This window comes from Homo sapiens, chromosome 8 (assembly GCF_000001405.40).
Source record: "Homo sapiens chromosome 8, GRCh38.p14 Primary Assembly".
Lineage (NCBI taxonomy): Eukaryota > Metazoa > Chordata > Mammalia > Primates > Hominidae > Homo > Homo sapiens.
Genome location: NC_000008.11, coordinates 142,699,812 through 142,726,978, shown reverse-complemented (window position 1 = coordinate 142,726,978; position 27,167 = coordinate 142,699,812). Strand labels below are relative to the sequence as shown.

At 45.8% G+C, this 27,167-nt stretch overlaps 1 protein-coding gene and 1 long non-coding RNA gene across 6 annotated transcripts, besides 1 other annotated feature; one reads left to right on the top strand and one right to left on the bottom strand.

Moving 5' to 3' along the window:
• LNCOC1 (lncRNA associated with ovarian cancer 1) lies at positions 6–24,727 on the top strand. Its single transcript, NR_038925.1, has 3 exons — positions 6–257; positions 18,561–18,664; positions 19,400–24,727. It is a non-coding gene; the product is annotated as a lncRNA associated with ovarian cancer 1 (long non-coding RNA).
• Positions 31–250: an enhancer, noted in NCBI's record as "active region_28066". NCBI's record gives its function as "activates an Ori minimal core promoter by ATAC-STARR-seq in GM12878 lymphoblastoid cells {active_cell/tissue: GM12878}" and the evidence as "EXISTENCE:reporter gene assay evidence [ECO:0000049][PMID:35858748]".
• On the bottom strand, positions 21,852–26,868 carry LY6K (lymphocyte antigen 6 family member K). 5 transcript variants are annotated; one of them, NM_017527.4, is made up of 3 exons: positions 26,349–26,868; positions 25,266–25,379; positions 21,852–23,888 (listed from the first exon to the last, which is right to left on the bottom strand). In NM_017527.4, the coding sequence occupies exons 1-3, from the start codon at positions 26,449–26,451 to the stop codon at positions 23,608–23,610; spliced, it is 498 nt and encodes a 165-aa protein (NP_059997.3). In that variant the 5' UTR covers positions 26,452–26,868; the 3' UTR covers positions 21,852–23,607. The 5 variants fall into 5 exon arrangements, with proteins under 5 accessions (NP_059997.3, NP_001153826.1, NP_001153827.1 ...); NM_001160354.2 differs by having other exon boundaries at positions 22,809–24,135; NM_001160355.2 differs by having other exon boundaries at positions 22,809–23,856.
• Positions 26,869–27,167: the final 299 nt, after the last annotated feature.

Below are 27,167 nucleotides of genomic sequence, written 5' to 3'. Positions count from 1 at the left end.
GCTCTGAAGACGCGGCCTGGCCCTGGCCGTTCGGCCCTTCGTCTGAGCGCAAAGGCTCCAGCACCTCCGCGGCCGAAGCCGCGGGACTTTTCGTGGAAAATGGGACCCAGCCCGATCGCCAGCGGCGCTGCAGCGGACTCTGCGGGAACCTAGCTTCTGCTCCAGGACCTCCAGGGCCACCCCAGCTCGCAGGGCGTTCGCAGCGGCTCAGGGCGAATCACGCTCATGGTCCCCGTGCGCATTTTCAGCCCCAGCCGGTACCTCCTTACTCGCCCTCACGACATTCATTCCACCCCCTAAAGGTCCTGCCAACCCCAGGCTCTTCCCGAGCATTCCCGCCCTTCCTCCCTTTTGAAACCGGAGCAAATCACGGCCGGGCGGAAGCGGGGGAGCCCGGGTGAGAGTCAGTGACTCAGCTGCGGACTCCAAGTGTCGCCGGAGGCCCTGGGGCGCAGGCCCAGCGGGCTGTCGCACAGCTCGGCTGTCCTGTGCCCCTTCCTGACGAGGCTGGGGAGGAAAGGCGGCCCAGAGAAGGCCGGACCAGCTCTCCCCGTCAGCCCCAGGCTCTCGAATGACAGCGGATGCCAGCGACCGGGGATGGGGTCCCGGAATTGCTGGGTTAAACAAGCTCCGGATTCAGGCCTGGGCCTGGGCTGGGGTTCCAGGGTTCTGGACCGCCCTCAAAGAAGGAGCTCCCTGGGGCGGCACCTGGCTCTGCTTGATAGCCCCAGGGACAGGGAGCTCACTACCTATCAGGGCAGCTCCCCCAGTGCCGAGACCAGCTCGGTCCTGGAGACCCTAACCCAGCGGTGCTAGAGGAATTAAAGATACACACAGAAATATAGAGGTGTGGAGTGGGAAATCAGGCGTCTCACAGCCTTCAGAGCTGAGAGCCTCCAACAGAGATTTACCCACGTGTTTATTCACAGCAAGCCAGTGATAAGCACAGTTTCTACAGATTATAGATTAAAAGTACCCCTTAGGGAAACAAAGGGATGGGCCAAAATAAAGGGGTGGGTTTGGCTAGTTATCTGCAGCAGGGGCATGTCCTTAAGTCACAGATGGCTCATGCTATTGTTTGTGGTTTAAGAACGCCTTTAAGCGGTTTTCTGCCCTGGGTGGGCCAGGTGTTCCTTGCCCTTATTCCGGTAAACCCACAACCTCCCAGCGTGGGCATCATGGCCATCATGAACATGTTACAGTGCTGCAGAGATTTTGTTTATGGCCAGATTTTGGGGGCCTATTCCCAACACCCTAGCATTGCTCACACTTGTCCCTGAAGTGTCACCTTGTCGTAGCTGGGCTCTGAGCCCTCTGCCCCAGGGAGGGGTGGCCTTTTGGGCTGAAGGGACTGAGGACATAGCCGTTGAGCCTGTTGGCCATTGCTCAAAGAATGCAGCCTCCTGGTCACCCATGTTGTCCCCTTGCCAACAAAAAGAGTGAAACACTGTGCAATGTTTGAAGAGATTTATTCTGAGCCAAATCTAAGTGACTGTGGCCTGTCACACGGCCTCAGAAGATCCTGAGAACTTGTACCCAGAGTGGTCAGCCTGCAACTGGGTTTTACAAATTTTAGGGAGACATAAGACATCAATGAATACTTGCAGGATGGACATTGGTTTGGTCCAGAAAGGTGGGGACAACTGGAAGTGACAGAGGGACTTCTAGGTCATAGGCAGATTCAAAGATTTTCTGATTGGCAATTGATTGAAAGAGTTAAGTTGACCGGGCATGGTGGGCCATTTCTATAATCCTTGCCATGGGGAGGCTGAGGACCATTTGAGCCCAGGAGTTAGATACCAGCTTGGGCAACATAGAGAGACCTCACTTCTCCAAAAAAAAAAAAAAAAAAAAAGTTATTTTTTAAAGACTTAGCATTAATAGAAAGGAATGTCTGGTTAAGATAAGGGGTCGTGGAGACCAGTGTTTCATGATCAGATGAAGCCTCCAGGTAGCAGGCTTCAGAGAGAATAGATTGTAAATGTTTCTCATCAGACTTAAAGAGTCTGTTCTCTCAGTCTTTAAGGGGTGTGTTGATGTTACTGCTGGTCAGCTGGGCCTGAAATCCAAAGGGAGGAGGGTACAGTGAGGCATATCCAACACCCATTTCCTGTCGTGGTCTGAACTAGTGTTTCAGGTTAACCCTGGACTGCCCTTGGTCAAGAGCAGGGGTGCATTCAGATGGTGGGGGTGCTTAGAATTTCATTTTTGGTTTACACCACTGTGTCCTCTCCTGCCAGGGGAGGGACCCAGAGCTGGAGGCTTAGCCCTGGAGATACCGGTGAAGATGGATGAATGAGAAACCAGTTGGAGCTTCCAAGGTCTCTACCCACCCTCCAGACCTCCTCTGCTCCTGCCCCTGCCCATTCATTCCCAACTTCTGCTCTCCCAGCTCCCCTCCCACCCACATGCTGTTCCCTCCTCTTCCATCTTCCGCTTCCTGGGCCCAGAGACTGGGCAAGATCCCCAGGGCTCTCCTTGCACAGCGAACCTCTCCCAGGGTGCATAGCCTTGCTGCAATCTTACACAGGGAATACATAAGCAAGGAATACTTCTGTCCCTCTTGGACTCTGAAGCCAGAAGGCCAGGGCCTGGTTGGCCTCCTAACTGCTGTGTCCCAGGGCCAGAGCAGTGCCAGACACCCAGCAGTCTTAGCACCCACGAAAGCTGGAGGGACCCACACCTTCCCCATCACTCAGTTGCATCAGTCTAACGCAATGGATTTGGGCAGCTTGTGGTGGTTCACTGGCAGTTTATTGGGGGACTTGAAGGAGTCAAGGTCAAGTGGGGGACTTCTGGGTGCCAGACCTGGCCCTTCCTTGGCCTGGGCTTGGGGTGTCCAAGCCCACAGAGCCATGCAGGGGGAAAGAGCTAGGCAAGCAGGGTGGTTGAGGAGGTCATTAGCGTGGCCTCGAGGGAAAACAATTCCAAGAGGAGCCCAAATTCGAATGTCCCCTGGTGTCATTGAGAATGGAGAGATTTAGGTTATGAATTGTGCAGTTGGTGGGTAGCAAGCCAGGGTCCTGAAGATAGTCTGCATATCCCCTGGTGTCATTGAGAATGGAGAGGTTCAGGTTATGAATTGTGCAGTTGGGGGTATCAAGCCAGGGTCCTGAAGATAGTCTGCATATCCCCTGGTATATATCATTTATATAAGGATGTTACTTAACTATTGCTGTCTTCCAGAGGCAGCTTCTTGAACAAATACTTGAGGTCCTCTATAGGTTTACGGGAGTAGACTGTTTTCTCCAAGCAGGCCTGTCGTCCATCAGGAGAAGCAAAAGGTTTTATTCTAGAGACAAGTCCTTCCAACTGTACAGCTGATGGAGTAGCCAAGGAAACCTGGTATGGACCCTTTCATTTCTCAGTGAACTAAGCCTCTGGGCTTCCTTTTCGCCATGTCTTGAGTAGGACCTGTGCACCTGGGCTAGCAGGGAAATGATCTGAAACTCCATGACCCGGCTGAGGTCACATCTTATTATCATATTGCAAGATGGCCTGCTGAACTTGTCCCAAGTTAATGATGTATTTTACCACCTGATTTAAATCTTCGTCTAGAAGAAAGTGGCTAGGAAGCGGCTAGCAACAGGAGGAGTGGGTTGGGCAGATTCATTCTGTCCCAGCTTCCTAGGATGGAATGAGCAGTCCCTTTCCCAGTGCCCCTCCTTCCTATGGTAGGAACATGGGTTACAGGAGCCAAGGGGCCAAGCCGCTCTGTCTGGGCCACCTGTTTGGCAGCTTCACCAGCTCAGCTGTCTCCTCGGCTGGTTAAAGAACTGCCTGCTGGGGCCCTTCATGGTGCATGACAGCTATCTGGGCAGGGAGCTGAACTGCCTCAAGAAGGGACAGAATCACTTTTTTATGTTTTATGGGGGAGCTCCTAGGAGTCCACAATCTCCTCTCTTTCCAGACAGCTGCATGAACATGGAGCACTAGGAATCCATACTTAGAGGCAGGATATACATTAAGTATTTTCCTTCCCTTAGTTAAAGAGCCATGACTAGGGCTTTGAGCTCTGCTTCATGAGTGGAAGTGCTTGGGGCAAGGGCTTTTGCTTCTACAATGTGGTTCAAGCCAACAGCAGCATAGCTTGTCTTTTGGATGCCATTTTCTACAAAGCTGTTCCCAGATGTAAATAATTCTTTATCTGTATTTTCTAAGGGGGAGTCCTGCAGGTCCATTTGTCTAGAATAGGTCTGCTCTAAAGTCTCCACACAAGTGTGTTTGTGTCTCTGAAGTGGGCGAGGGAACCAGGGCAGCAGGATTCAAGGTCTAACACACCTTTAAGGTTCAGTCGAGGGTGTCTAGCAGCAGGGCCTGCTATAAAGTTAGGCTTCCCCAGCCAGTGGTGCTCTTTTATTTCTAACACATTCCAGACCTGGTGAGGAGTGTCAACCTGAAGGGGTTGGCCTCATGTGAGTTGGGAGGCCTCTCTGACCAGGAGGCTGGTGGCCACCACTGCCCTAAGTCAGCTTGGCCTTCCCTGGGCTACTGGGTCTCATTGCTTTGAAAGTAACCACTGGCCATTGGATGGACTCCAGATTCTGAATTAGGACATCCAGGGCTGGCCTGAACCTCTCCTATACATATAGGAAGAAAGGCTTCTACAATTGTGGGAGTCCTAGGTCAGGGGCCTTCCTAACTCAGATTTTAGGGTTTCATATGCTTGCTGACAGGCTTCTACCCAGTGGGATAATTGGTTTTCTCCACTCTTGAGTGGGTTTAAGTATGAGGCCAAAGTTTAGGATCTAAACCCAGCAGAAGCCAGCCATCTGCAGAAATCCGTGCAGCTCTCTTCTACTACCAGGGACTAGTAGTGAAGCAATGGCCCGCTTTCAGTCTGGGGCAAGCATCCTGGCTTCTGGGGTAAGTATGAACCCTAGTCATCGAACCTGTGTCTGGGAGATCTGGGCCTTTAAGGGGAAGACCTTATATTCCCATTCAGCCAAGAAATTTAAGGTTTTAATAGTATGTTCTTGAAAACTATGGAAGCCCTCACTAGCAATAAGCAAATCATCCACATATTGCAATAAGATTCCACTTGTAAGTTTAAGATCTCTGAGGTCTTTTGCCAGGGCCTTCCCAGAGAGGTAGGAGCTATCCTGAAACCCCTGGGGTAGCACTGTCCAGGTATATTGGGAAGTTTCCTGGGTCTCTGGATACTTCCATTCAAAGGCAAAAATGTAGGAGAATTTGGGATGCAATGGGATACAAAAGTAAGTGTCCTCTAGATCCAGCACCATGTAGAACTGAGTGCGCCTAGGGATCTGAGAGAGGAGTGTGGATAGATTGGGAACTATAGGATGACTGGGAACAACTGAGTCATTCACTGCCCTAAGCCATTCACTCCTAAAAGGAGTACCCTAAACCAGTACTCCCCTTTTGGTTTCTCCACAGGCAAGATTGGGGTATTACAAGGTGACTGGCAGGGCTGAATAGGCCTGTGCTGTAGGAATTTTTCCAGGAGGAGCTGTATTCCCTGTAGGTCTTCTGTCCTCAAAGGGTATTGGGGCTTGCATGGGTAGGGTACACTTGGCTTAAGTTTTATCTTAATAGGCTCTGCAATGATGGCTTGTCTTAGAGTACTGGCATCCCATATAAACTTTGCCACTTGACATACTATCTCTTCCAGGACAGGAGGTAGCTTCTGACCTTTGGGAGCCAGAAGGGCCAGTAAATGGATTCTCTTCTCGGAGGTACTGAGACTTATATTGCATCCCCTGGAGGGAAACTGAGGCTCCCAGGTTGGATAATAAATCATAACCTATTAAAGGAAGGGGACACTCAGGGATATATAGGAAAGAATGAGTAATACCCTTAAATCCAATTTCACAAGTCAAAGGAAAGGCAAATCATTTTACCTTCTCCTGGCCATCTATTCCCATCACCATACAGTTGGCATTGCAGAGGTCCCACAGGTTGGGTCAGGACAGAGTAGGTGGTCCCAGTATCCAATAGTTATTCAGGTTTCCTGCCTGCTACATTGAGAGTGACCTGAGGCTTTGCGGTGGTGATGCCAACAGAACGCTTCAAGACTGCAGCTGGGAGAGCACTTGGGCTACATCCAGCAGAGAGGGTGGCCTTTTCATACAAGAGACTAGCATCAAGAGGAGTGGGTTGGGGAGATTCATGCTGTCATGACTTCACAGGATGGAATGAACAGTCCCTTTTCCAGTGCCCCTCTTTCTTATAATAAGAACATTGGTTGTCCCTCAGTCCTATTGCTGCTGGTTGAGGTCTGGTCACCCCTTGTCTGGAGTGTTTCTCCTGCCTAGGGTCACCTTGAGGCAGACCTGTAATTATGGCAGCCAAAATTTTTGCCCGATTTTTCATTCTCTCATCCTTTTTTTCCTCCCCTGCCTGGTCCTTATTGTTAAAAACCTTAAAGGCCTCCGCTATCCACGTCACCTGAGGTGTCTTGGGGTAAGCTTCCAGTTTCTGAACCTTTCTCCAAATGTCGGGTGGAACTTGAGTTATGAAATGCATGGTAGTTGTATGTTCATTTTTATAAGAAACTGTCAAACTGTTTTCCATAGTGGCTGTACCATTTTAAATTTTCACCAGCTGTGTATGAGTGATCCAGTTACTCTGCATCCTTTTCAGGATTTGGTGTTGTCACTATTTTTTATTCTAGCCATTCTCATAGGTATGTGGTGATATCTCATTGTGGCTTAAATTTGCATTTTATAAAGGATAAGGATGGCCTGGGCGCAGTGGCTCACGTCTGTAATCCCAGCACTTTGGGAGGCTGAGGCGGGTGGATCACGAGGTCAGGAGATTGATACCATGGTGAAACCCCATCTCTACTAAAAATACAAAAAAAATTAGCCAGGCGCAGTGGCGGGCGCCTGTAGTCCCAGCTACACAGGAGGCTGAGGCAGGAGAATGGCGTGAACCCAGGAGGCGGAGCTTGTAGTGAGCTGAGATCGCGCCACTGCACTCCAGCCTGGGCGACAGAGTGAGACTCTGTCTCAAAAAAAAAAAAAAAAGGATAAGGATGTTGATTATTTTTTAATGTGCTTATTTGCCACTCACATCTGCTTGCTGACAAAATGTCTGTTTATATGCCTTGTCCATGTTCTCATTGATTTTTTTTTTTTACTGTTGAGTTTTAAGAGTTCTTTGTATATTTTAGATAAAACTCTTTGTCAGATTGTGGCTTGTAAATATTTTCTCTTAGTCTGTAGCTTGTCTTTTCATCCTAATAACAGAGTCAATAGCAAAGCAAAAGTCTTAATGTTGGTGAGGTCCAGTTTATCAATTGTTCCTTCTATGGATTCAGCTTTTGGTGTCAATTTTAAGAACTTTTTACCTAGCCCTAGATGGTATCTTTTTATGTTTTTTAGTCTAGAGATGTCATCTTTTTATTCCTGATATTGATAATTTGTGCCTTCTTACTCATGATCAATCTTTCTAAGGATTTATAAGTTTTATTAGTTTTTTCAAATAAGCAACCTTTTATTTTTATTTTTTGATGAATTTTCTATTAGTTTGAATTTCTTCTTTCTGTGGATATATTTGCTATTCTTTTTCTAATTTCTTGAAGTAGATACTCAGTTCTCTGTCTTTAAGAATTTTTCCCATGAATGGATTATTTTAGACCACAAGTTTCTCTTAAGCATATCTTTGTCACTATACCGCAAGTAATAATAGGTCATGTAAACAGTATAATTCTTTTTTGGAGAAACAGTGTAATTATTTTTGGACACTATGTCATGCAGGTTGGAGTGCAGTGGCATGACCATGGCTCACTGCAGCCTTAACCTTCTGGGCTCAGGTGATCCTCCCACCTCCACCTCCATAGCAGCTGGGACTACAGGTGGGCACTACCACACCTTGCCAGTTGTTAAAATTTTCTGTAGAGACGGGTTCTCACTATGTTGCCCAGGCTGCTAACTCATGGGCTCAAGCAACCTTCCCACCTCACCCTCCCAAAGTGCTGGAATTACTGGCATGAGTCACTGTACCTTGCCTCAGTATAATTTAATACAAATATTTTCCAACTTCCTTTGTGACTGTCTTCTGAGACTTAGAATATGCATAAATTTATTTCTTATCTTCCAAACCTTTGGGGATATTTTATTTTTTGATATCGGTGTTTTATTTAATTGCATTATGGTCAAAAACTTGCCACACGATTTCAAGTCATTGACATTGTGGAGATTTGCTTTATCCCCAGCATATGGACAAAAATTTGATGAACATTCCATGTACACTTGAAAAAATTGTGACTTTTTAGTTGTTCGGTGCAGTGCCCTGTATATGTTAGTGGGCCAAGGTTGTTAATGATGTTCAAATATTGCATATTTTTATTAATTTGCTGGATTGTTCTGTCACACACTGAAAGAAGTATGTTGAAATTTACCATTTCATCTTTTATTTCTGTTAATGTTTGCTTTATATATTTTGAGGTTATGTTAACAGATGCATACACATTTAGAATTATTGTATCCACCTGTTGGATTTACCCTTTTGCAATTATGAAAAGCCCTCCATTATAGTAATGTTTCCTGTATCAACATCACTTTTGTCTGACAGTAGAAACTCTGCCAGATTCTTTCACTTAGTGTTTGCCTGGTGTTGACTCAGCTCCACACCAACCATCCCCACTCCACCTCTGTGGCTGGCCCTAGCTCCGCAAACTCATTTCTGCTGGGCCAGCTGGTGCTGTGCTAAATTCTCCCACTAGGGGCACCAGAGAAAGCACGCAAGGCTGGGGAAGATGGGGAATGTGCTCCTTTCAGTTTGCTTCCGGTTTCTTTCCCAGGCTTCCGGTCTACCTGCCACTGGGGCCACGTGTCCTCTGGATGCTGCTGGTTCACCTGGCAGTGGCACTTCCCCACCTAGCTGCTAAAACTGGGTTGCTGGTTCCCGACTCTGCAGAATCAGCTTGATCTCCCCGCTAGAGACCTCAAACCACTGCTAGGGACACCTCATCTCGGGGGTCTGGGTTTCAGGCCGTAGGCCCTTCCAGCTCAGACCCTGGCAGCAGCTGCCATCCCTCTTCAGAGGCCAGATCCCAGTGTGGCAGCCGCCCTGGGGCACCTGGGGAGTGACTCATTTTCATGAATTCCAGCTTATTAGTTTTATTAATTCTCCCCTTTGTACCCCAGACTGAGTGGTGGTGGCTGCCTTGTGTGGTTGCTATTTTCCTGATACGTGGGCTGGCAAACCAAAACCTGAGACCACAGCCAGCTGCAGTCCTGTGTTCCTACAACCTGTGAGCTAAGAATGTTATTTATTAAGTAGAATATTAATAAATAAATAATAAACTATACTATAGTATCTAAATGTGAATTTTTTTTTTTTTACTTAAAGCATCTTCCATAGATATATATGAAATTCAAATACATTTTATTGGGACACACTGTTTTAATTCATTTTCATATTTATTGCCTCTTAGCACAATGCTTGAGCCTTGGAATACTTTTAACTCCTTTCATTCCTCTGTCACCTTCTGTGTTACTGTGGTCACATACAATTATTCACACTACTTATATTCATTATATTAAATCTGCTGTATGATTTTTTACTTCTATATATTATATCCCTAAAGTCCTTGTTATTATTGTCTTATACAATAGATTTTTATTTATATTAACTAATATTCTTTCCATTGCTTATGTTTGATATAACTTTTCATCCACCTTTAGGATTTCCTTTAGTGTGGTCTGATGGTGATACATTCTATGAGAGTGTGTTTCTTTCACTTTGTCTTTACTTTTGCATTTTGAAGGGTATTTTGTTTTGTAGAACGCTCTAGAATTAGCAGTGATTTTCTTCCAGCAGTTTCACAATGTTCTTCCATTGTCTTTTCTCATTGCTTACTTTCTCTTTTTGGAACCCGGGTATTATTCTTATTGTTGCTCCTTTAAGTATTGTGGCTGTTTGCTCTGACTGCTTTTAAGACTTTCTCTTTATTCTTGGGTTTCAGAAGTTTTGCAATGATGTATCCAGGTATGATTTTTCCTTGTATCAATTCTGCTTCAGTTTCTCAGAGTTTCTCAAATCTGTGGTTATTTTCTATCAGTTTTCAAAAATGATCTCCTGTATCTTCAAATATTGTGTCTGTCCCTTTCTCTTAGTGGATCCATGGTCTATCAGTTAGCTACTGCTGCATAATTAGCCGCCCCAAAGCCCACTGATGTGAAACATCCATTTTTGTATTATCACTCATGGATCTGTGGGTAGGCCCAGCTCAGCTGGGTAGCTCCGCTTCTCACTACAGATCTTGAGTCTACTGGGATGGTTCTACAACCCACGTCTCTCTTCCTCCTGGTACAAGTGGTCTAGCTGAAGCATTTTCTTCTCAGGATGATGGTGGGGGCACGAGAGAAATCCCAATCACACAAGCTCATCTCATGTCTTTGCTTGTGTCACTTCTGCTAATGTCATTGCCTGAAGCAAGTCATGTGACAGTATCCAACGTGAATATCAGGGAACTAAACCAAGTCTTTGGCTGGAGGAACTGCAAAGTTACATGGCAGAGGGTATTGTATAGCAGGGGTCCCCAACTCCACAGTCCATGGCCTATGAGGAGCCAGGCCACATAGCAGGAAGTGAGTGGCAGGCGAGCAAGGATTCCAGCCTGAGGTCTGCCTCCTGTCAGATGAGCAGTGGCATCAGATTCTTGTAGGAGCACAAACCGTATTGTAAACTGTGCATGTGAGGGATTTGGGTTGCATGCTCCTTATGAGAATCTGATGATCTGAGGTGGAACAGTTTCATCCCGAAACCATCCTTCTGCCTCATCCATGGAAAAATTGTCTTCCATGAAACTGGCCCCTGGTACCAAAAAGGTTGGGGACTGCTGATGTATAGCAAAGGCTGAAGAAACAGAGTCAATAATTACATCGACTTATATACAACTATGCCAGACCTTGTCTCCATGTCCCAGGTACCAAGGCTTTTTCTGTATTTTCCATTCTCTTTTTAAATTTTGTGATCTTCAGTCTGATGGTTCCTACCTACCATTCTTCTTGTTTACTCTTCCTTTCTCTGATTGTCTAATATGCCATTAAATTCACCTCTTGGGCCTTTCTGTCATACCCTTGATTTCTATTTCATTAACTTCTACCACTTTGTTATTTTCTTCATACCTACTTTCTGACTTTTAAAGCGGAATTTTGTTGTTGTTTGCTTTTGAAGTAGGGTCTCGCTTTGTCGCCCGGCTGGAGTGCAGTGGTACGATCACGGCTTGCTGCAGCCTTGACCTCCTGGGCTCACGGCATCCTCCCATTTCAGCCTCCTGAATAGCTGGGACTACAGGTGTGCGCCATCATGCCCATCTACGTTTTGCATTTTTTGTAGAGATGGGGTCTCATTTCGTTGCCCAGACTGGTCTCAAACTCCTGGGCTCAAGCGATTCGCCAGACTTGGCCTCCCAAAGTGCTAGGATTACAGGCGTGAGCTCACACGCTTGGCAAAATCGAATGTTTAATGTATTAATTTTCCAATTTTCTTCTCTCCTATTATAAACATTTAAATTTCTAACTGCTTATAAATTTCTCCTTGAGTACTGCTTTAGCTTTACCCTGAAGGTTTTTTTTTTTTTCATTTTGGTATAGATTTTTAACTGTTCAATTTAAAGTATTTTAAAATTTTCAGTTTGGTTCCCTCCTCCAATTGTTTTAGAGACAGGGTTTTGCTCTGTCACCCAGGCTGGAGTGCAGTGGCCCAATCATACCTCACTGTAACTCGAACTCCTGGGCTCAATCAACCCTCCTGCCTCAGCCTCCCAAATAGCTAGTACCATAGGCATGCAACACCACACTCAGGTATCTTAAAATTTTTTGTAGGGATGGGGTATTGTCATCTTGCCCTTGCTGGTCTCAAACTCCTTGGCTCAAGCAATACTCCTACCTCAGCCCCTCAAAGCTCTGGGTAGTTTTCCATCTTTGAGAAGAAGGCCTGATCTGTAATTGTTGGGTGCAAGGTCCCACATATGTATATTCAGTCAGTCTTGTCAGTTATCTTGTTCAGTGTTTTCACTATACTTTGCATTCTAGATCTATCAATTATTGAGCAATGTGTGTTAAAATATTTCATTACATTGTCAGTTTTGTCAATTTTTCCCCGTATTTACAACATCTTTTACTTCCTTATATTGAAACACCTCTGGAAGACATAATTCTAAATTGTTAACATATTTTTATAGTGACTTGAATATTTTGTCATTTATGTCTATTAATACTTTTTGCCTTGAGGTCTATTTATCTCATATTAATAGTATAAGTCCACTATATCTTCTGCCATTTTTTGTATGATTAACTTTTCTGTGGTCTTATGCTTTGTGTGTATCTTTTTATGGATTAAAACAAAAAATCAGTATAATAATTAGCTTCAAACTGGTGATTTTTTGTTTTCTTTTTTGAGATGAGGTCTGACTGTTGCCCAGACTTGAATGTAGTAGTGTGATTGTGGCTCCCTGCAGCCTAAAACTCCCAGGCTCAACCCATCCTCCCACCTCAGCCTCCCAAGTAGCTGGGACTACAGGAACACACCACCATGCCTGGTTAACTTTTGTATTTTTTTTTTTTTGTAGGGAGGAGGCTTTGCCATGTTGCCCAGGCTAGAACTGGTGATTTTATTTGTTGTCACTGCTAAGGAATAAGGATATATTTCTATCATCTTGTTTAGTTCTTTTTATTTCTTTTATGCTTTTCACCATTCAATATTGATCTCTTATTTTTCTACACATACATAGAAGTTTAAAACTGGATTTCTATCATTTTGCATTTTGGAATTTGCTCTTTATGTCTAATTTTTTCTTTCTTTCTTTTTTTTTCTTTTGAGATGGATACTTGCTCTGTTGCCCAGGCTGGAGTGCAGTGGCACGATCTTGGCTCACTGCAACCTCTGCCTCCCGGGCTCAAGTGATTCTCCTGCCTCAGCTTCCTGAGTAGCTGGCACTACAGGCGTGTGTCACCACGCCTGGCTAGTTTTTTTGTATTTTTCCTATTTTTGTATTTTTGTAGAGATGGGGTTTCATCGTGTTAACCAGAATGGTCTTGATCTCCTGACCTCGTGATCTTCCCGCCTCGGCCTCCCAAAGTGCTGGGATTACAGGCATGAGCCACCGCGCCCGGCCACATTTTTTCAGTATATCTGAACCTCCTTGTGAACTCTGCAAAAACTACAGAACAACTCTATCACCTCCCTCTTTCCTTTTATGCCACATGTGTCTAGTATTATCACTCTTATTTTCTTTAAGCCTCCATAAATTGGAAATTCTTATTGTGCTATCTATTCAGTGATAGTTTTGATTTTTCCGTATGTCTTAGTCTTCTTTAGCTGCCATAATAAATTACCGCAAACTGGGGGGCTTAAACAACAGACATTTATTTCTCACAGTTCTGGAGGCTGGGAAGTCCAAGATCTAGGTGCAGGCAGATTCAGTATCTGGTGAGGGCTCACTCTCTGGTTCATAGATGGCAACTTGTCATGATGTCCTCACATGGTGGAGAGAGAAGGAGCTCTCTGGTGGCTCTTCATATTAGGAGACTAATTTTACCAGATCGGAGGCTAACACCTATGACCTCATTCAACCTTAATTACTTACTCCAAATGCGGCCATTTTGGAGGTTAGGGCTTCAATATGTGAATTTGTGGGGTGGGTAGGAAAAACCACACAACTCAATCCATAACACCACATATTAATATATCTTTTTCTATGATTCCTTCTTTCATTCCATCTGCCTGTCTGATATTATTTTCACTCCTTTTAAAGAATATTTTGGGAGTTCTTTTAGTAATGGCTGAGCAGTGGTAAACAATTTCAGTTTTGTATTTATCAGAAAATGCCTTTATTCAAATATTCAATTCTACCTTAATTTCTTGTCATTTTCTTTCAACACTTTGGAGACACTAGTACACCATCTTCTAACTTCCATAATCAAATTGAGAAGTCAGTGCAAGTGTAATTGTTTTATTTTTTAGATGTATGTCTTTTCTCTCTGGCAGGTTTTAAATTTTCCTCTTGGCTTTGGAGTCCTGAAGTGATACTCTGAATGTGCCTCAATATGATTACTTTATCTGAGTATTCATGTCTTTAATCAATTTTGGAAAAACCACTCATTGTTATTTCTTCAAATATTGTCTGTACTCTCTTCTTCTGAAATTCTGCTTATTTCTATATCAGACTGTCTAATTCTATTCTCCCTGTCTTCTAGTTTATTCTTTGTATTTTCCAACTCTTATTATCTCTGGGTCACATTTGAGTAGTTTCTTCAGCTCATGTTCCAGTTTCTTATTCTCTCTTCATCTGTGTCTAATCTGTTATTTAATTTATCCCTTGAGTTTTAACATATGATGGTTATATATTTTTTTACTTCTGGATGTTCTCTTTAGACTTTTTTTTAATTTTGGGGGGGTCAAGTCTGCCCAATATTTTTCTGATGGTATTGTATTCTTTCCTGATGCTTTCTATGATGTTTTTTCTTTCTTTAAAGTTATTTTATTTTTATAAAACAAAGTTGGGGTCTTCCTGTGTTGCCCAGGCTTGTCTCTAACTCCTGGGCTCAAGCGATCTTCCCGACTCGGCCTCCCAAAGTGCTGGGATTACAGGTATGAGCCACCATGCCCAGCTGATCTTTTATTTCTTTAAGGAAACTTATTTTGTATTTGGTATCTATTTTTTCCAATGTTTAAAACCTTTTATGCTCTAATTCTACTCACTCATTGCTTCTTGTTTTTATTTTTCTTTTGTAAATTTTGATTTATAGCAGATTTATGGAGATAGTATCTGTGAGAATTCTATGATTTCTGGACTCAGAGTCTATCCCTTCAGAGAGAATTTTCCTTTGATTTCCAGGCATCTATAGAGTGAAACCAATCCATTATTACCTTACATTTGTTTCTTGGTTTAGAGTTTAGTATATTTAACTAGTAATATAAATACAAACCCTGTACTCTGGAAGTTTCTGGATTCTGAGGTGAAACTTCTCTTCCTATTTGTACCTCATGCAGAGCCAATAGTGAGGCAGACAGGGTTGTGCAGAGTGTGTCTTTCTTCCTAGTTCAGTATTTAAGATATATCCCTTCCTAAGCTCCTAATTTATGTGTTTTTTTTATTTTAACTTCCTATCTTATGGACATCCGTTGCCTTGTCTCTTATCCCCTACATGTGGCACAAGATAATTAGACAAAAGCAAGCATTCTCAAGGAAGCTTTCAGCCTCCTGACTTAACTACCATGTTGAATCATGATCCAGTTCCCATTTTATTTTTGGCCTCTGAAATGTTCGTGTTAACTTGGCATAGAGTGGGAAAGGATTTAAGATATTTTTTCATTCAGGATTTAAAAGTGTTTTTTTAATTTTAATTTTTTTAAAACCTGAACAGCCAGAGAATCAGATGAAGTGTTTTATAATAGAAGAGTTTTAAGCTATTACTATAGTCTGAATGTCATGTCCCTCCAAAATGTTGCAGTCTAATCTCCATTGCGTTGGTATTAAGAGGTGGGGCCCTTTGGGAAGTAATTAGATCATGAAAGTTCCATCCTCATAAATGGGATTAATGCTGTTATAAAAGAGATTGAAAGGAGCATTCTAGCTCCTTCTGCCACATGAGTACACATAGAAGGTGTCATCTGTGAGGAACAGGCTCTAATCAAACATTGGCTAATCTGGTGAGGGCTCAGAAGAAGAGGAGAGCTATAGAGAAAATCCTCAGTCTTCTTGGAGATTATCCAAGTGGTCATGATCAAAATCTGGGTATAAACATGGACAGTAAAGGCCATTCTTATGAAGTACCAGACAGAAATGAGGGACAGATTATCAGAAACTGAAGGAAAGGCAATCCTTGTTACTAAGTGGCAAATTGTGGCTGAATTGTGTTCATGTTCTAGCCTTTCGTAGAAGGAATAAGTTATCAGCAACAAGGTAGAATATTTGGCAGAAGAAATCTCTTAGCAAAGTGTTCAGGGTGTGGCACAGCTTCTCTTGACTGCTTTTAGTGAAATGCAAGAAGAGAGTCATGAATTAAAGACAGAATTTATCATCAAAAGGGAAGCAAAACTTGAATATTTGGAAAATTCTGAGCCTGACAATATTGTAAAGAATGTGAAAGTGTGTCCAGGAGAGACACCAAAGGTGTGGTCAAGCAAATGTTTGATAACGAGATTAGTATGGACAGAAGGAAACTGTGTGTTATTTATTAAGACAATGGAGGAATGATCTTGAGGGCATTTCTGAGACTTTCATGTTTGGGCAGCAAGCCACCCAAGTGCCAAGGCAAGAGACCGAGGGCACGAGCTGTTCCAGTATAATACAATATATGAGAATAGTTATACTATATATAGATCATAGATATGATTATATATGAATATCATTAATCATTAGTTTGTGGTAATTACTCTTTTTTCCAATATTATAATAATCCTTGCTCTACAATCATAACCTAGGAAAAACCAGGCCGTACAGAGATAGGAGCTGAGGGGGCATAGTGAGAAGTGACCAGAAGACAAGAGTGCGAGCCTTCTGTTATGCCCGGACAGGGCCACCAGAGGGCTCCTTGGTCTAGCAGTAACGCCAGCGTCTGGGAAGACGCCTGCTGCCAAGTGGACCTTGGTCTAGCGGTAGCATCAGTGTCAAGGAAAAATACCCGCCACTTAGCAGACCGGGAAAGGGAGTCTCCCTTTCCCCAGGGGAGTTTAGAGAAGACTCTACTCCTCCACCTCTTGTGGAGGGCCTGACATCAGTCAGGCTCGCCCGCAGTTATCTGGAGGCCTAACCATCTCCCTGTGATGCTGTGCTTCAGTGGTCATGCTCCTAGTCCGCCTTCATGTTCCATCCTGTATCCCTGGCTCTGCCTTTTAGATAGCAGTAGCAAATTAGTGAAAGTACTAAAAGTCTCTGATAAGCAGAAATAATGGCGTAAGCTGTCTCTCTCTCTCTCTCTCCTCTCTTTCTCTGCCTCGGCTGCCAGGCAGGAAAGGGCCCCCTGTCCAGTGGACACGTGACCCACGTGACCTTACCTATCATTGGAGATGGTTCACACTCCTTATCCTGCTGCTTTGTCTTGTATCCAATAAATATCAGTGCAGCCTGGCATTCGGGGCCACTACTGGTTTCCACGTCTTGGTGGTAGTGGTCCCCCAGGCCCAGCTGTCTTTTATCCCTTTGTCTTGTGTCTTTATTTCCACACTCTCTCATCTCCACACATGAGAGAAAACCCACCGACCCTGTGGGGCTGGACCCTACATTCATGGATGTCTCATCCACCACAGGTCCAGAACACCAGGGTCTTGGGAGCAGAATGATTTCAAGGCTTTGCTCTCAGGATTCCAGTTTTGGGCCTGCATTGGCTGTTACAGCTCTGGCTCAAGCAGGCCCAGGACCAGTTCAGAGTGCCCCTCTGGAAGGCATATGCGGTAAACCTCGGCAGCATCTGTACGGTATCATTTCCACACGGGCTTTGGAGGGATGTGGTTGCCTCCACCTAGATTTCAAAGGATGCCTCAGACAGACGTAGGACAGAGGCAGAAAACAGCCACAGGTGTGGCAGGGGTCACTGGAGAGAGCATTACTCAGTGGCATCATAAAAGCAGGGCTGCCCTGAAGACCCCAGACCAGTAGAGCCACCAGCAGGCAACTCCAGCCTGTGAGAGGTGCATATAGCAAAGCCAGGAGGGAGGGCTGCAGGGCTGCCAAAAACCTTGGGGGTTCAAGCCCCACCCCAGTGTGTCCAGAATGTGGGGCATGGATTAAAAAATATTTTGGAGACTTAAGATTTAATGTTTGCCCTGTTGGGTTTTGGACTTGATCAGGGCCTGTCATTCCTTCCTTCCTATTTCTCTATGTTGAAATAAGCATGTTTATCTTACGCCTGTCCCACCATTGTATTTTGGAAGCATGTCACTTGTTTGATTTTGCACGTTCATGGCTGGAGACAAATTTGCCTCAGAATAAATCTTACCTTGAGTTTCATCCATATCTGTTTTACGTGATATTTAGATAAGACTTTGGATTTTAGACTTTTGATGCTGGAACTACGTTAAGACTTAACTGAAGTTAAGAGTTTTGAGATGGAATGAATTTATTTTAAATGTCAGAAAGACATGAGTTTGGGGACGGGCAGGGGCAGAATGGTGTGGTACAATGTTTGTGTCCCTCCAAAATTCATATTGAAACCTAATCACCATTGTGTTGGTATTAAGAGGTGCAACCCAGCCAGACGTGGTGGCTCACACCTGTAATCCCAGCACTTTGGAAGGCCGAGGCAGGCGGATCACCTTAGGTCAGGAGTTTGAGACCAGCCTCGCCAATATGGCAAAACCCTGTCTCTACTAAAAGTACAAAAATTAGGTGGGTGTGGTGGCAGGTGCCTGTAATTCTGTCTACTCAGGAGGCTGAGGCAGGAGAATAGCTTGAACCCAGGAGGAGGAGGAGGCTGCAGTGGGCCAAGATCTCGCCACTGCACTCCAGCCTGGGTGACAAGAGCGAGACTTCATGTCAAAAAAAAAAAAAAAAAAAAGAGATGCATCCCTTTGGGAGGCACCCCTCATGAATGTGATTCATGCCTTTATGAAAGAGACTGAAGGGAATGTCTTTGCCTCTTTAGGTCTTTCCAGAGACACATAGAAGGTGCCATCTATGAGGAACAGGCCTTCACCAGACATCAAATCTGTTGGCATCTTGATCTTTGACTTCTCCACCGCCAGAACTGTGAGCAATAAATTTCTGTTCTTTACAAATTAATTAGTCTAAGGTCTTCTGTTATAGGTGGCTATCTAATGGGGCAGATTGTTGGGAACAAGTTTCTATACTCTTTATTTTTCTTATACTACATGACTAAATTCTCCACTTTAATGTTTTATTGCAGTGGTAACAATGTATAGGCTTATCATGTTTTTGCACTTAGATAGAACACTTCTAATGCTTCACCACTAAGTATGGTGTTTGCTTGAGGTTTCTGGTAAGTAACTTTTTTCAAAATATTGAAATTGCCTTCTATTCTTAGGTATCCAGGATTTTTAAAATGTTATAACTGAACGTTGATTATCATTTGGTTATTATTGCGTATTCTCTTGCTATGGTGAGTGGTATCTTTTCCTAAGATTTTTATTGTTCTCGCATTTCTGGGATAAATTGTACTTATCATAATGTATTAGTATTTTCATACACTTGGATTTGATTAGCCAATATTTTATTTATCTTTTGTTCACAATTATGATGGCTTCTAATTTCCTTTCTTGTGCTGTTTCTGTTTTATAGTATCAGTTTTGTGTTTGACCATAAAAGAATTTAGTCAGTAATAGTTTTTTAGTGCTTGAGATAGAAAGGCATTTCAGAGACCTGGACATGTTTGTTTGACCAAGCAGAGCTTTCAGAAAGTCTAGCTGTTTGGAAATTTATGAATTACTTCATGTGTATTACAGGAGGGTCGTTTTCTGTTTTCAGAGATCAAGACATGAAACCCATGTTCAAGATACTTTCCAGTGTGTCTTCATGTGATCCTCTGAGTCCAGCCATCAGGCTACCAGCAGCTCTTGGAAACCCTGACATACTTATTCTTAGAAGACTGCTTTCCGGACTCAAAGTGGAACCTCAAATTTTCAATTTTCTTTGTTTTTAAAGCCTACACATAGGTGATGATATATACATGCATATATATTTTGGAGAATTTATAATTCTGAAAACAATGCTGGTCTTATGGAACCCATCCATTCCCCTTTCCCCGTGTGTGCTCCGAGCTGTGGTGGCACGTGAAAAGGGGTCCTTCCAGCAGTGGCCCACAGCCCTGGGCTGCTTACTTGCTCACTTCATTTACAAGAGCAAGAAATACACATTCTTGTGTTGTTTAAGTCATTATGATGTGGGGATTTCCATTACTCACACACCTGATCTAGTAGTAACACAGTAGCCTATTTTAGCAATATCATTTATTCAATAATCCATTCTTTCCCCATTAGTTTTGAGCCTTCATTTATTGTGTACTAAGTTCTGGTTATTTTTAGTGGTTGTAATCTCCTTCTTTCCTACTCTCTTAATCATGGGATTGCCAATATCTGCTCTGTGTTTCTGTGCCATCTATAGCCTCTGGCCTTGGTACTGCTTCAAAACTGATATTTCTAACCTTACTTTGACTTCTCCATTCAGTGAAGTTCCCATAGTTCATCACTCAACTGCTCTCTTTCCATCGTGACCTTCTGAACTAGCTCACACCCAGATGTACTTTTGTTATCTGCCTTTCCCCCTCATAAACATGGGCTGCTGCTGGGGAAAATCCACTACCGAACTCTTGCAGGTCTCTGCAAATGTTTAATGCCCTGTCTTAGCCATGACCTCCACAATGCTGGGCTATCCTATGTTATGTCCCCTAAGATATCCCTTCTCTCTTACCTTTGGGGATAGTCCTAAGCTTCCATCATGGCACTCAAAGTCCAACCTTATTTGTACCCTCATTCTCTGAGCAGACACCACCGTATTCTGTTTCACAGAGAAAATGTGACTGCTGGGGATAATTCTTTCAACTTCCTGGCCTCTTCCTATACATGATCTTTCTCTGTATTCTTGCCTATTGCTCTTCCATGTTGATAGAAGTGTCTGTTCTCCTTGTCAGTGTCTCGGCCTTGGATCTGTCCCCTAGACTATTCTGCCTGTGTAAGGACCTTCCCTGACCAGCTGGGCCACCATCTCCTGCTTCTCCAATCCCTCACTCTAGACTGACTCTTAACCTTTGGTCAACAATACTTGAGCTTTTACATTCATAATGGAGCATCTGTGTTGAACCTTGTTCTTTTCTAGACACTACCCTCCGTTCTGTCTTCCATCCATGGTGACTTTTCTAGAAAGAGCATCTATCACACTGGAGACAGCAAACTCCTTGATCCATTCTAATTCCTAACCCTGCAATAATTTTCTATCTCCCTTACTCAAGTAATTGGGAGTGCTCCTAGTGTTACCAGAGACCCAGCAGTTCCCAATTTCGAATTTTTCCGTATTCACATTTCTTGACTTGCTATGATTTTACATCACAGATTACATCCTTCATTTGAAGAGACTCTAATGGAAGGCTGCCATGGAAACTCTCTCATGTGGCTGACCTCCTACCTCACTTGCTCTTTCTGAATGAAGTTCCCACTTTTGCCTGCCTTAATGAAAGTAATGCTCCCCAAACTCAAGCCCAGGGCTGCGAATTGGAAGCAGCTGGGGCTACTGTTTCTGGGTGCTGGTGTGAATGGCAGGATGTGAACACCAGCCTGTGACGGGCAAAAAGATGGACACACAGGCAGAGCCTGACAGGTGCTGGTGGTCCTATCTGGTCCTGAGTTGCTGGGACCCTCCTTGCCCACTGCCCCTAGAATGGACTTTGGCCTCAGGTTCGAAGTGTTCAGATGTGACTGAGATGAGCCTTTTCCCCATGCCTCAGGAATAGCGAAGAAACTCTATCTGGAAGGTTCCCCAGGCTTCCCCACCCAGCAGCCTCTGGTATTAGACCAGGCAGTGGCTGGCCAGGATGGTGGGGACAGAAGGGAGACAAAGGTGAGCAGTGGGTGGGGTCACATCCTCCCTGACATTGAATAGACAACATGGGGAGGAAGGATGAGTGATCTTTAGAATGTTCATGGAAAATGCATATTGGGAAAAAGAATGCATGAATTTCAAATTGTTTTGCAACAAAATAAACTTGTACTAACTTGTGAAAACACGTCCGAACAGGATCTAGTTTGAGGCCCTAAGAAGTATAAGACAACAGTTTGAACAGAGCTCCTATCAGACACATGAATTCTGCTAAAATTGAAACCAGAACAAACATGCAATTGATGGTGAAGCTTGGCTGGAAACATGGTGAAATCATTGATGATTTATTGAAAGTTTATAGGGACAATGCCTCAAAGAAATCAGCAATTTAAGTAAGTGGATAACTCATTGGAAGAAGAGAAGAGATGATGTTGGAGAGGAAGTCCACAGCAGCAGGCCAGCCACATCAGTCTGTGAGGAAACAATTCATCTTGTTTGTGCCCTAATTTAAGAGGACTGATTAATAGCAGCAGAAACAATAGCCAACGCTGTAGGTATCCCAAGGTGTTCAGCTTACACAATTCTGACTGAAATTAAAGTTGAGTAAACTGTCCACTCGGTGGGTGCCAAAACTTTCTCCCAGCTCAGCTGCAGATAAGAGAAAAGCGTTCTATGGCCATTTTAAACAAGTGGAATCAAGATCCTGAAGCATTTCTTCATATAATTATAGCCGGAGATGAAATGTGGCTTAACCAGTACACTCCTGAAGGCAAAGCACAAGCAAAGCAATGACTACCTAGAGGTGGGCGTGGTCCCATCAGAGTAAAAGCAGACATGTCAAGGGCAAAGGTCGTGGCAACCGTTTTGTGAATGCTCAAGGCATCTTGCTTATTGACTTTCTGGAGGGCCAAAGAACAGTAACATCTTATTATGAGAGTGTATAGAGAAAGTCAGCCAACGATTTAGCAGGAAAACACCCAGGAAATCGTCACCCCGGAAAGCTTCACCAGAGAGCCCTTCTCCACCATGACAATGCTCCTGCTCATTCCTCTCATCAAACAAGGCCAGTTTTGTGAGAGTTTCAATGGGAAATCACTAGGCATACACCTTCCAGGCCTGATTTGGTTACTTCTGTTTTATAATTTTAAAAAATCTTTAAAGGGCACCCACTTTTCTTCAGTTAATAACGTCACAAAGACTGAAGTGGCATGGTTAAATTCCCAGGGTGCCCAATTCTTTAGGGATGAACTGAATGGCTGGTACCATTACTTGCAGAAGCGTCTCGACCTTGATGGAGCTCATGCTGAGAAATAAAACATTTTTTAATTTTTATCTTTTAATTCAATTTTTTCGTGAACTTTTGAAGTCCCCTTGTATTTGTTTTTGGTGGAACTTTGAGTCTGATTTCTCAGCTCCCCATGGATGGCTGCATCTTAACAGAGAAATGAACGCCATTTACCCTGATGCTCTCTACTTGGCCTAAGTTTCAGATGTTGAACACACACGTGTGGGAATTTATGAATCTGTGCACCTGTGCCAGCTGGTGGGTGAAGTCTAAGTTTCTTCAACACAATTAGTTATCTTCTGCCTCCTGGAATCTGGTAGGAAAGGTTGAGGAAAAGCAGCCATCCACAGCGCCTCCACCACTGGAATGGGGGCAGCCCTAACGTGTGCCCCACTGCCCCCCATGCTGAGGAGTCCTTCACTCCAGGGATGTCTTCACCCCAATCATTCAGACTCCCCCAGTGTTCCTGCGTCACCTGAAAGGTCGGAAGCATCTCAGCACATACTCTCCATGAGTGGTACTTAGGCCTCCCTCCCCATCAATACTGAAGCCCTCAGAGGCAGAGGGGAGTCAAGGAAAAGAGTGGCCATCAGCAATAAATGAGTTACAAGGTTTGATTTCAAAGAGAAAAACTTGTCACCAAAATCACTACTCAGGAGATCTGGACTTCCTCTGAATGTGAGTTAAAGAACCCTTGAGGGTTAAGAGCCAACTGCACCTGATCCCCACTCTCCCATCCCAAGACCCTGGGAAGTCAAACCAAGAGGTAATCAACAGAAAACAAGTTTAATGCAACAGGTGACAACGGTCTGGAGCGAGTCCATGCTCCGGAAGGCTCAGTCTGTGGCAGTCCCGTGGCTCAAGACAGGCTGAGGCCGGCTGCAATGGAGGCCAGCAGCAGGAGGATGGCCAGCCACAGCCCACCACAGCTCTCACCCATGCTCCCAGCATATTCTTTGAACACTGATGAGTTGATAGGTGGCCCCTCTAAATTGCAGTAGCGAATTTTACAACACTTGAGGTAAAAGAAGGGCATGGGCTCTTCCAGGAGAAACCGCTTCTCCTCTGGCTTGGGTCTCTCCATCGCTGCACAACCAGCGGAGCACTGCTTCGCAACCATGAAAAAACGTGGAAATATTTCTAATAGGAAATAAAGACCGAGAGAAGGCAATCACGCAATTCCAATGCCTGACACCGAGGCCCTTCTGTCTGGGTCAAAGCCTCACCCCTGGCGGCCCTGCTCAAAGGTGCACAGTCAACTGGGGCACCAAGGGGGAGTCGGGAGGACGAGGGCCAGGCCTGTGTGTTGAATGCTGCTTCAGGGAAGGGCTGGCTTCTGCGTGGTATGGCCTGTCCATATGCACTGGGAATGCGGGTCTAGGGGTTGCTGTTTGGGAACAAACAGGTCTCAACTTCTCAAACACAGGGTTGGCTCAGGCCTTTGTGACCACAGACAGACACATGACTCCCAGCCATTCTGGCCATCACCCAGGGTGTGGAGCTGGCCTCTTGGTGGGCCTGGCTCGACTCTGAGCTGGGGGTCTTGTCTCATGACCACACTTCATCTTATACATCACTGTACAAATCATTTTGCCATATTAAGTTATAAAGTCGATGTGGGCCACACTGAGTCTGAAGCATCACCTCAGCACCCCACCAACTTCGTGGATACCGAAGGGCTGGAGAGTGACTGCTGGGCGGAATCAGAATTCACGAGCCCTGAAGATCTCCCTGTGGGCAGAATGTGCTGGGTGTCCAGATTCCCCTTGGGGAGGGCTTCATGTACCCAGAGGTTTTCAGGGGAATCACAGATGACAGAGCAGTGGTCTCCACAATTTTTAAGGCATGCACCCTCCTTTGAGAACACACTTGAAGGCTGTACACCTTGGTTTTGTGCATCTCTTGTAAGAGTGACATAGACACTGTTCTCTGTGGCGCATTTAACACTATTAAAGCTTAATTTTTCATTTAAAAATGGATGATATGAAATCCAGATTTTCTTCCTACCTCCCAGTATTTCATCTGGACCCACTGTAGCAGGCACTGCCTTACACTAGCACAGTTCCTACACCTCTCTCTGGCCTCTGAGGACTTTGCTCTTCACATTTTAAAGGGAAAAAAAGGCAGGGCGCGGTGGCTTACGCTTGTAATCCCAGCACTTTGGGGGGCCGAGGGCGGGTGGGTCACCTGAGGTCAGGAGTTCGAGACCAGCCTGACCAACATGGTGAAACCCCACCTCTACTAAAAATAAAAAATTAGCCAGTGTGGTGGCGCGCATCCATAATACCAGCTACTCTGGAGGCTGAGGCAGGAGAATCGCTTGAACCCGGAAGGCGAGGTTGCAGTGAGCCGAGATCACACCACTGCACTCCAGCCTGACTCCGTCTCAGAAAATAAAAAAAAAAAAAGGCTACTTTCTATTAGTTATTCCCCATTGAGGAAAACTAGACAGCCCTGATTCCTGAAAGCCCTCTGTTCACCTGCCTTTGGGTCCCCAACAAGAGCGAAGATACTCACTCACGGCCGCTATAACGCAGTATGGCTCTGTCCATTTGCACCTCCTTGGGTTCTGGCACTCGAAAGTGTTTTCTCTCTCACAAACATGACACCACACTCTATTGTCACCCTCGTCTGAAAGGAGGAATAAAAAAGAAAGCAGAATGTTCCAGTTCTCCGTGCCTATCTGATGAACACAGCCGGCATCCGACCAGCACAAACTCGGCGGGTCCCCATCCTTCTCCCCCTGAGCAGTGGCTGGGGCCACATGACTCGAGTGAGCCGCATGGGGAGAAAGCAGGAGGGGTCTCCGGCCACGTAAGAGCTGCCCGCTTCCCCTTCGCCTTCCCCCATGATTGTAAGTGCCCTGAGGCCTCCCCAGAAGCCAGCACCACGCTTCCTGGACAGCCTGTGGAACTGTGAGCCAATTCCACCTCTCTTCTTTATAAATTGCCCAGCCCCCGGACTTCTTTACATTCTGAGTGATTTTTCTTCTCTCCTGGGGGCTCCCCCGTCCTCCCACATCCAAGCACACAACATGAGCGCACAGCGCACCCCCACTCGGCCGCAGCACCCTGACCCCAGGTCGGCCACGCGGCACCCACGGGCCCTGGCATCTCCCGGCCGACGGCTGTGGAAGTGACCCTGGGGCTTGGGTCTGCTCCCACGTGCCCTCCCGCCCACCTCCCAGGTCCACCCACCTCCCAGGTCCTGCCCCCCGACTCCCTCAAAGGAGTTCTCCCTTGGGTCTGGGTTGGGCCTGGCCTAGCTCTGCAGGAGGAGCCGGCCCTCCTCCCGCAGCTTGAACGGTTCTCAGCCCGTGAAGCCCCCGGAGGCCAGGCCGGCGGGAGCCTGCAGCCTGAGGGCTCCCGGGGAAGCGCGGCCGGAGCGGGGCAAGGGCTGGGGAAGGGCCGGGCTCAGGCTGCCCCGCCGCCCTGGTGGAAGCCGCACGAGGCGAGGCTCCCCAGAGGCTTCCAGGCGCCACGGGCCGCCTGAACGCTCCGTTCTCACGGCCTGGTCGGGGCGGTGGCCACGCGGTGCCAGGCAGACGCCGCCCGGCCCTGTCCTCTCGGCCCGTGGCTGTGGAGGGCGAGCCAGGCTCACCCGTTCGCTGGGAGTCCTCTGGATCTCGTTGTCTCGCAGTCAGGTTGGCGTCTGTCCACACCCGCGGTAGGGCCACGACCAGCAGCAAGGCGAGCAGCGCCATCGTCCCCAGCGGTGCCCAGGGAGGGTCAGCGCGCGGCGCCCCCTCCCCGCCCTTCTGGAACCTTCGCAGCCTCCGCGCGCCTCTCCCCGGGTCTGGCCGGTAGGGGGAGCCCCGCCCGCCCCGGGGCGCGCGCCTCCCACCCGCCGGGGCCTGTCGGGGTCTTTGGAGCCTCATCTCAGGGCCTCGCGGCCGCTGGCGGCCCTGAACGCCGGTTCTGAGTCCCGCCTTGTGCTGCTGTTGGAGCGGCCGGCGGCCAGGCAGGAACGGGCGCGGGAGCCCTGGGAAAGGCGCGTGTGGAAACGCAGCCCCTGAGCCCAAGGGCCGTCTCCTTGAGGACCCCACGGCCCACAGAAAGTGGCCGGCGGCCAGGTAGGGGATCTTCTCCGCTGAAGAGCACGGGCTCACCTCTGATAACTCGCCCCTGAATAGCTTTTAGCTCATTATAATACCAAAAAAAAAAAAAAAAACAAAAACCACATCCCTGGGGAGAGATTCCAGATGCTAATGACACACTCCAGCGCACTAGTGTGTGAGGTCACGGTGCCTGCGTGCCCTGAGGACTTCCCAAAACGTGCTTACTAGTAAGGCCCCTGCCTGGGCCGTTCGTGAGTAATCCTGTAAAACTCTCATCAAGAGGGTCTCCCCAGCGTGAGTAGCGACTGACTCATTCTTTTGAGCAGTTCCTCTTTCAAGCTGTACTGTTTTCCTTAACTAAA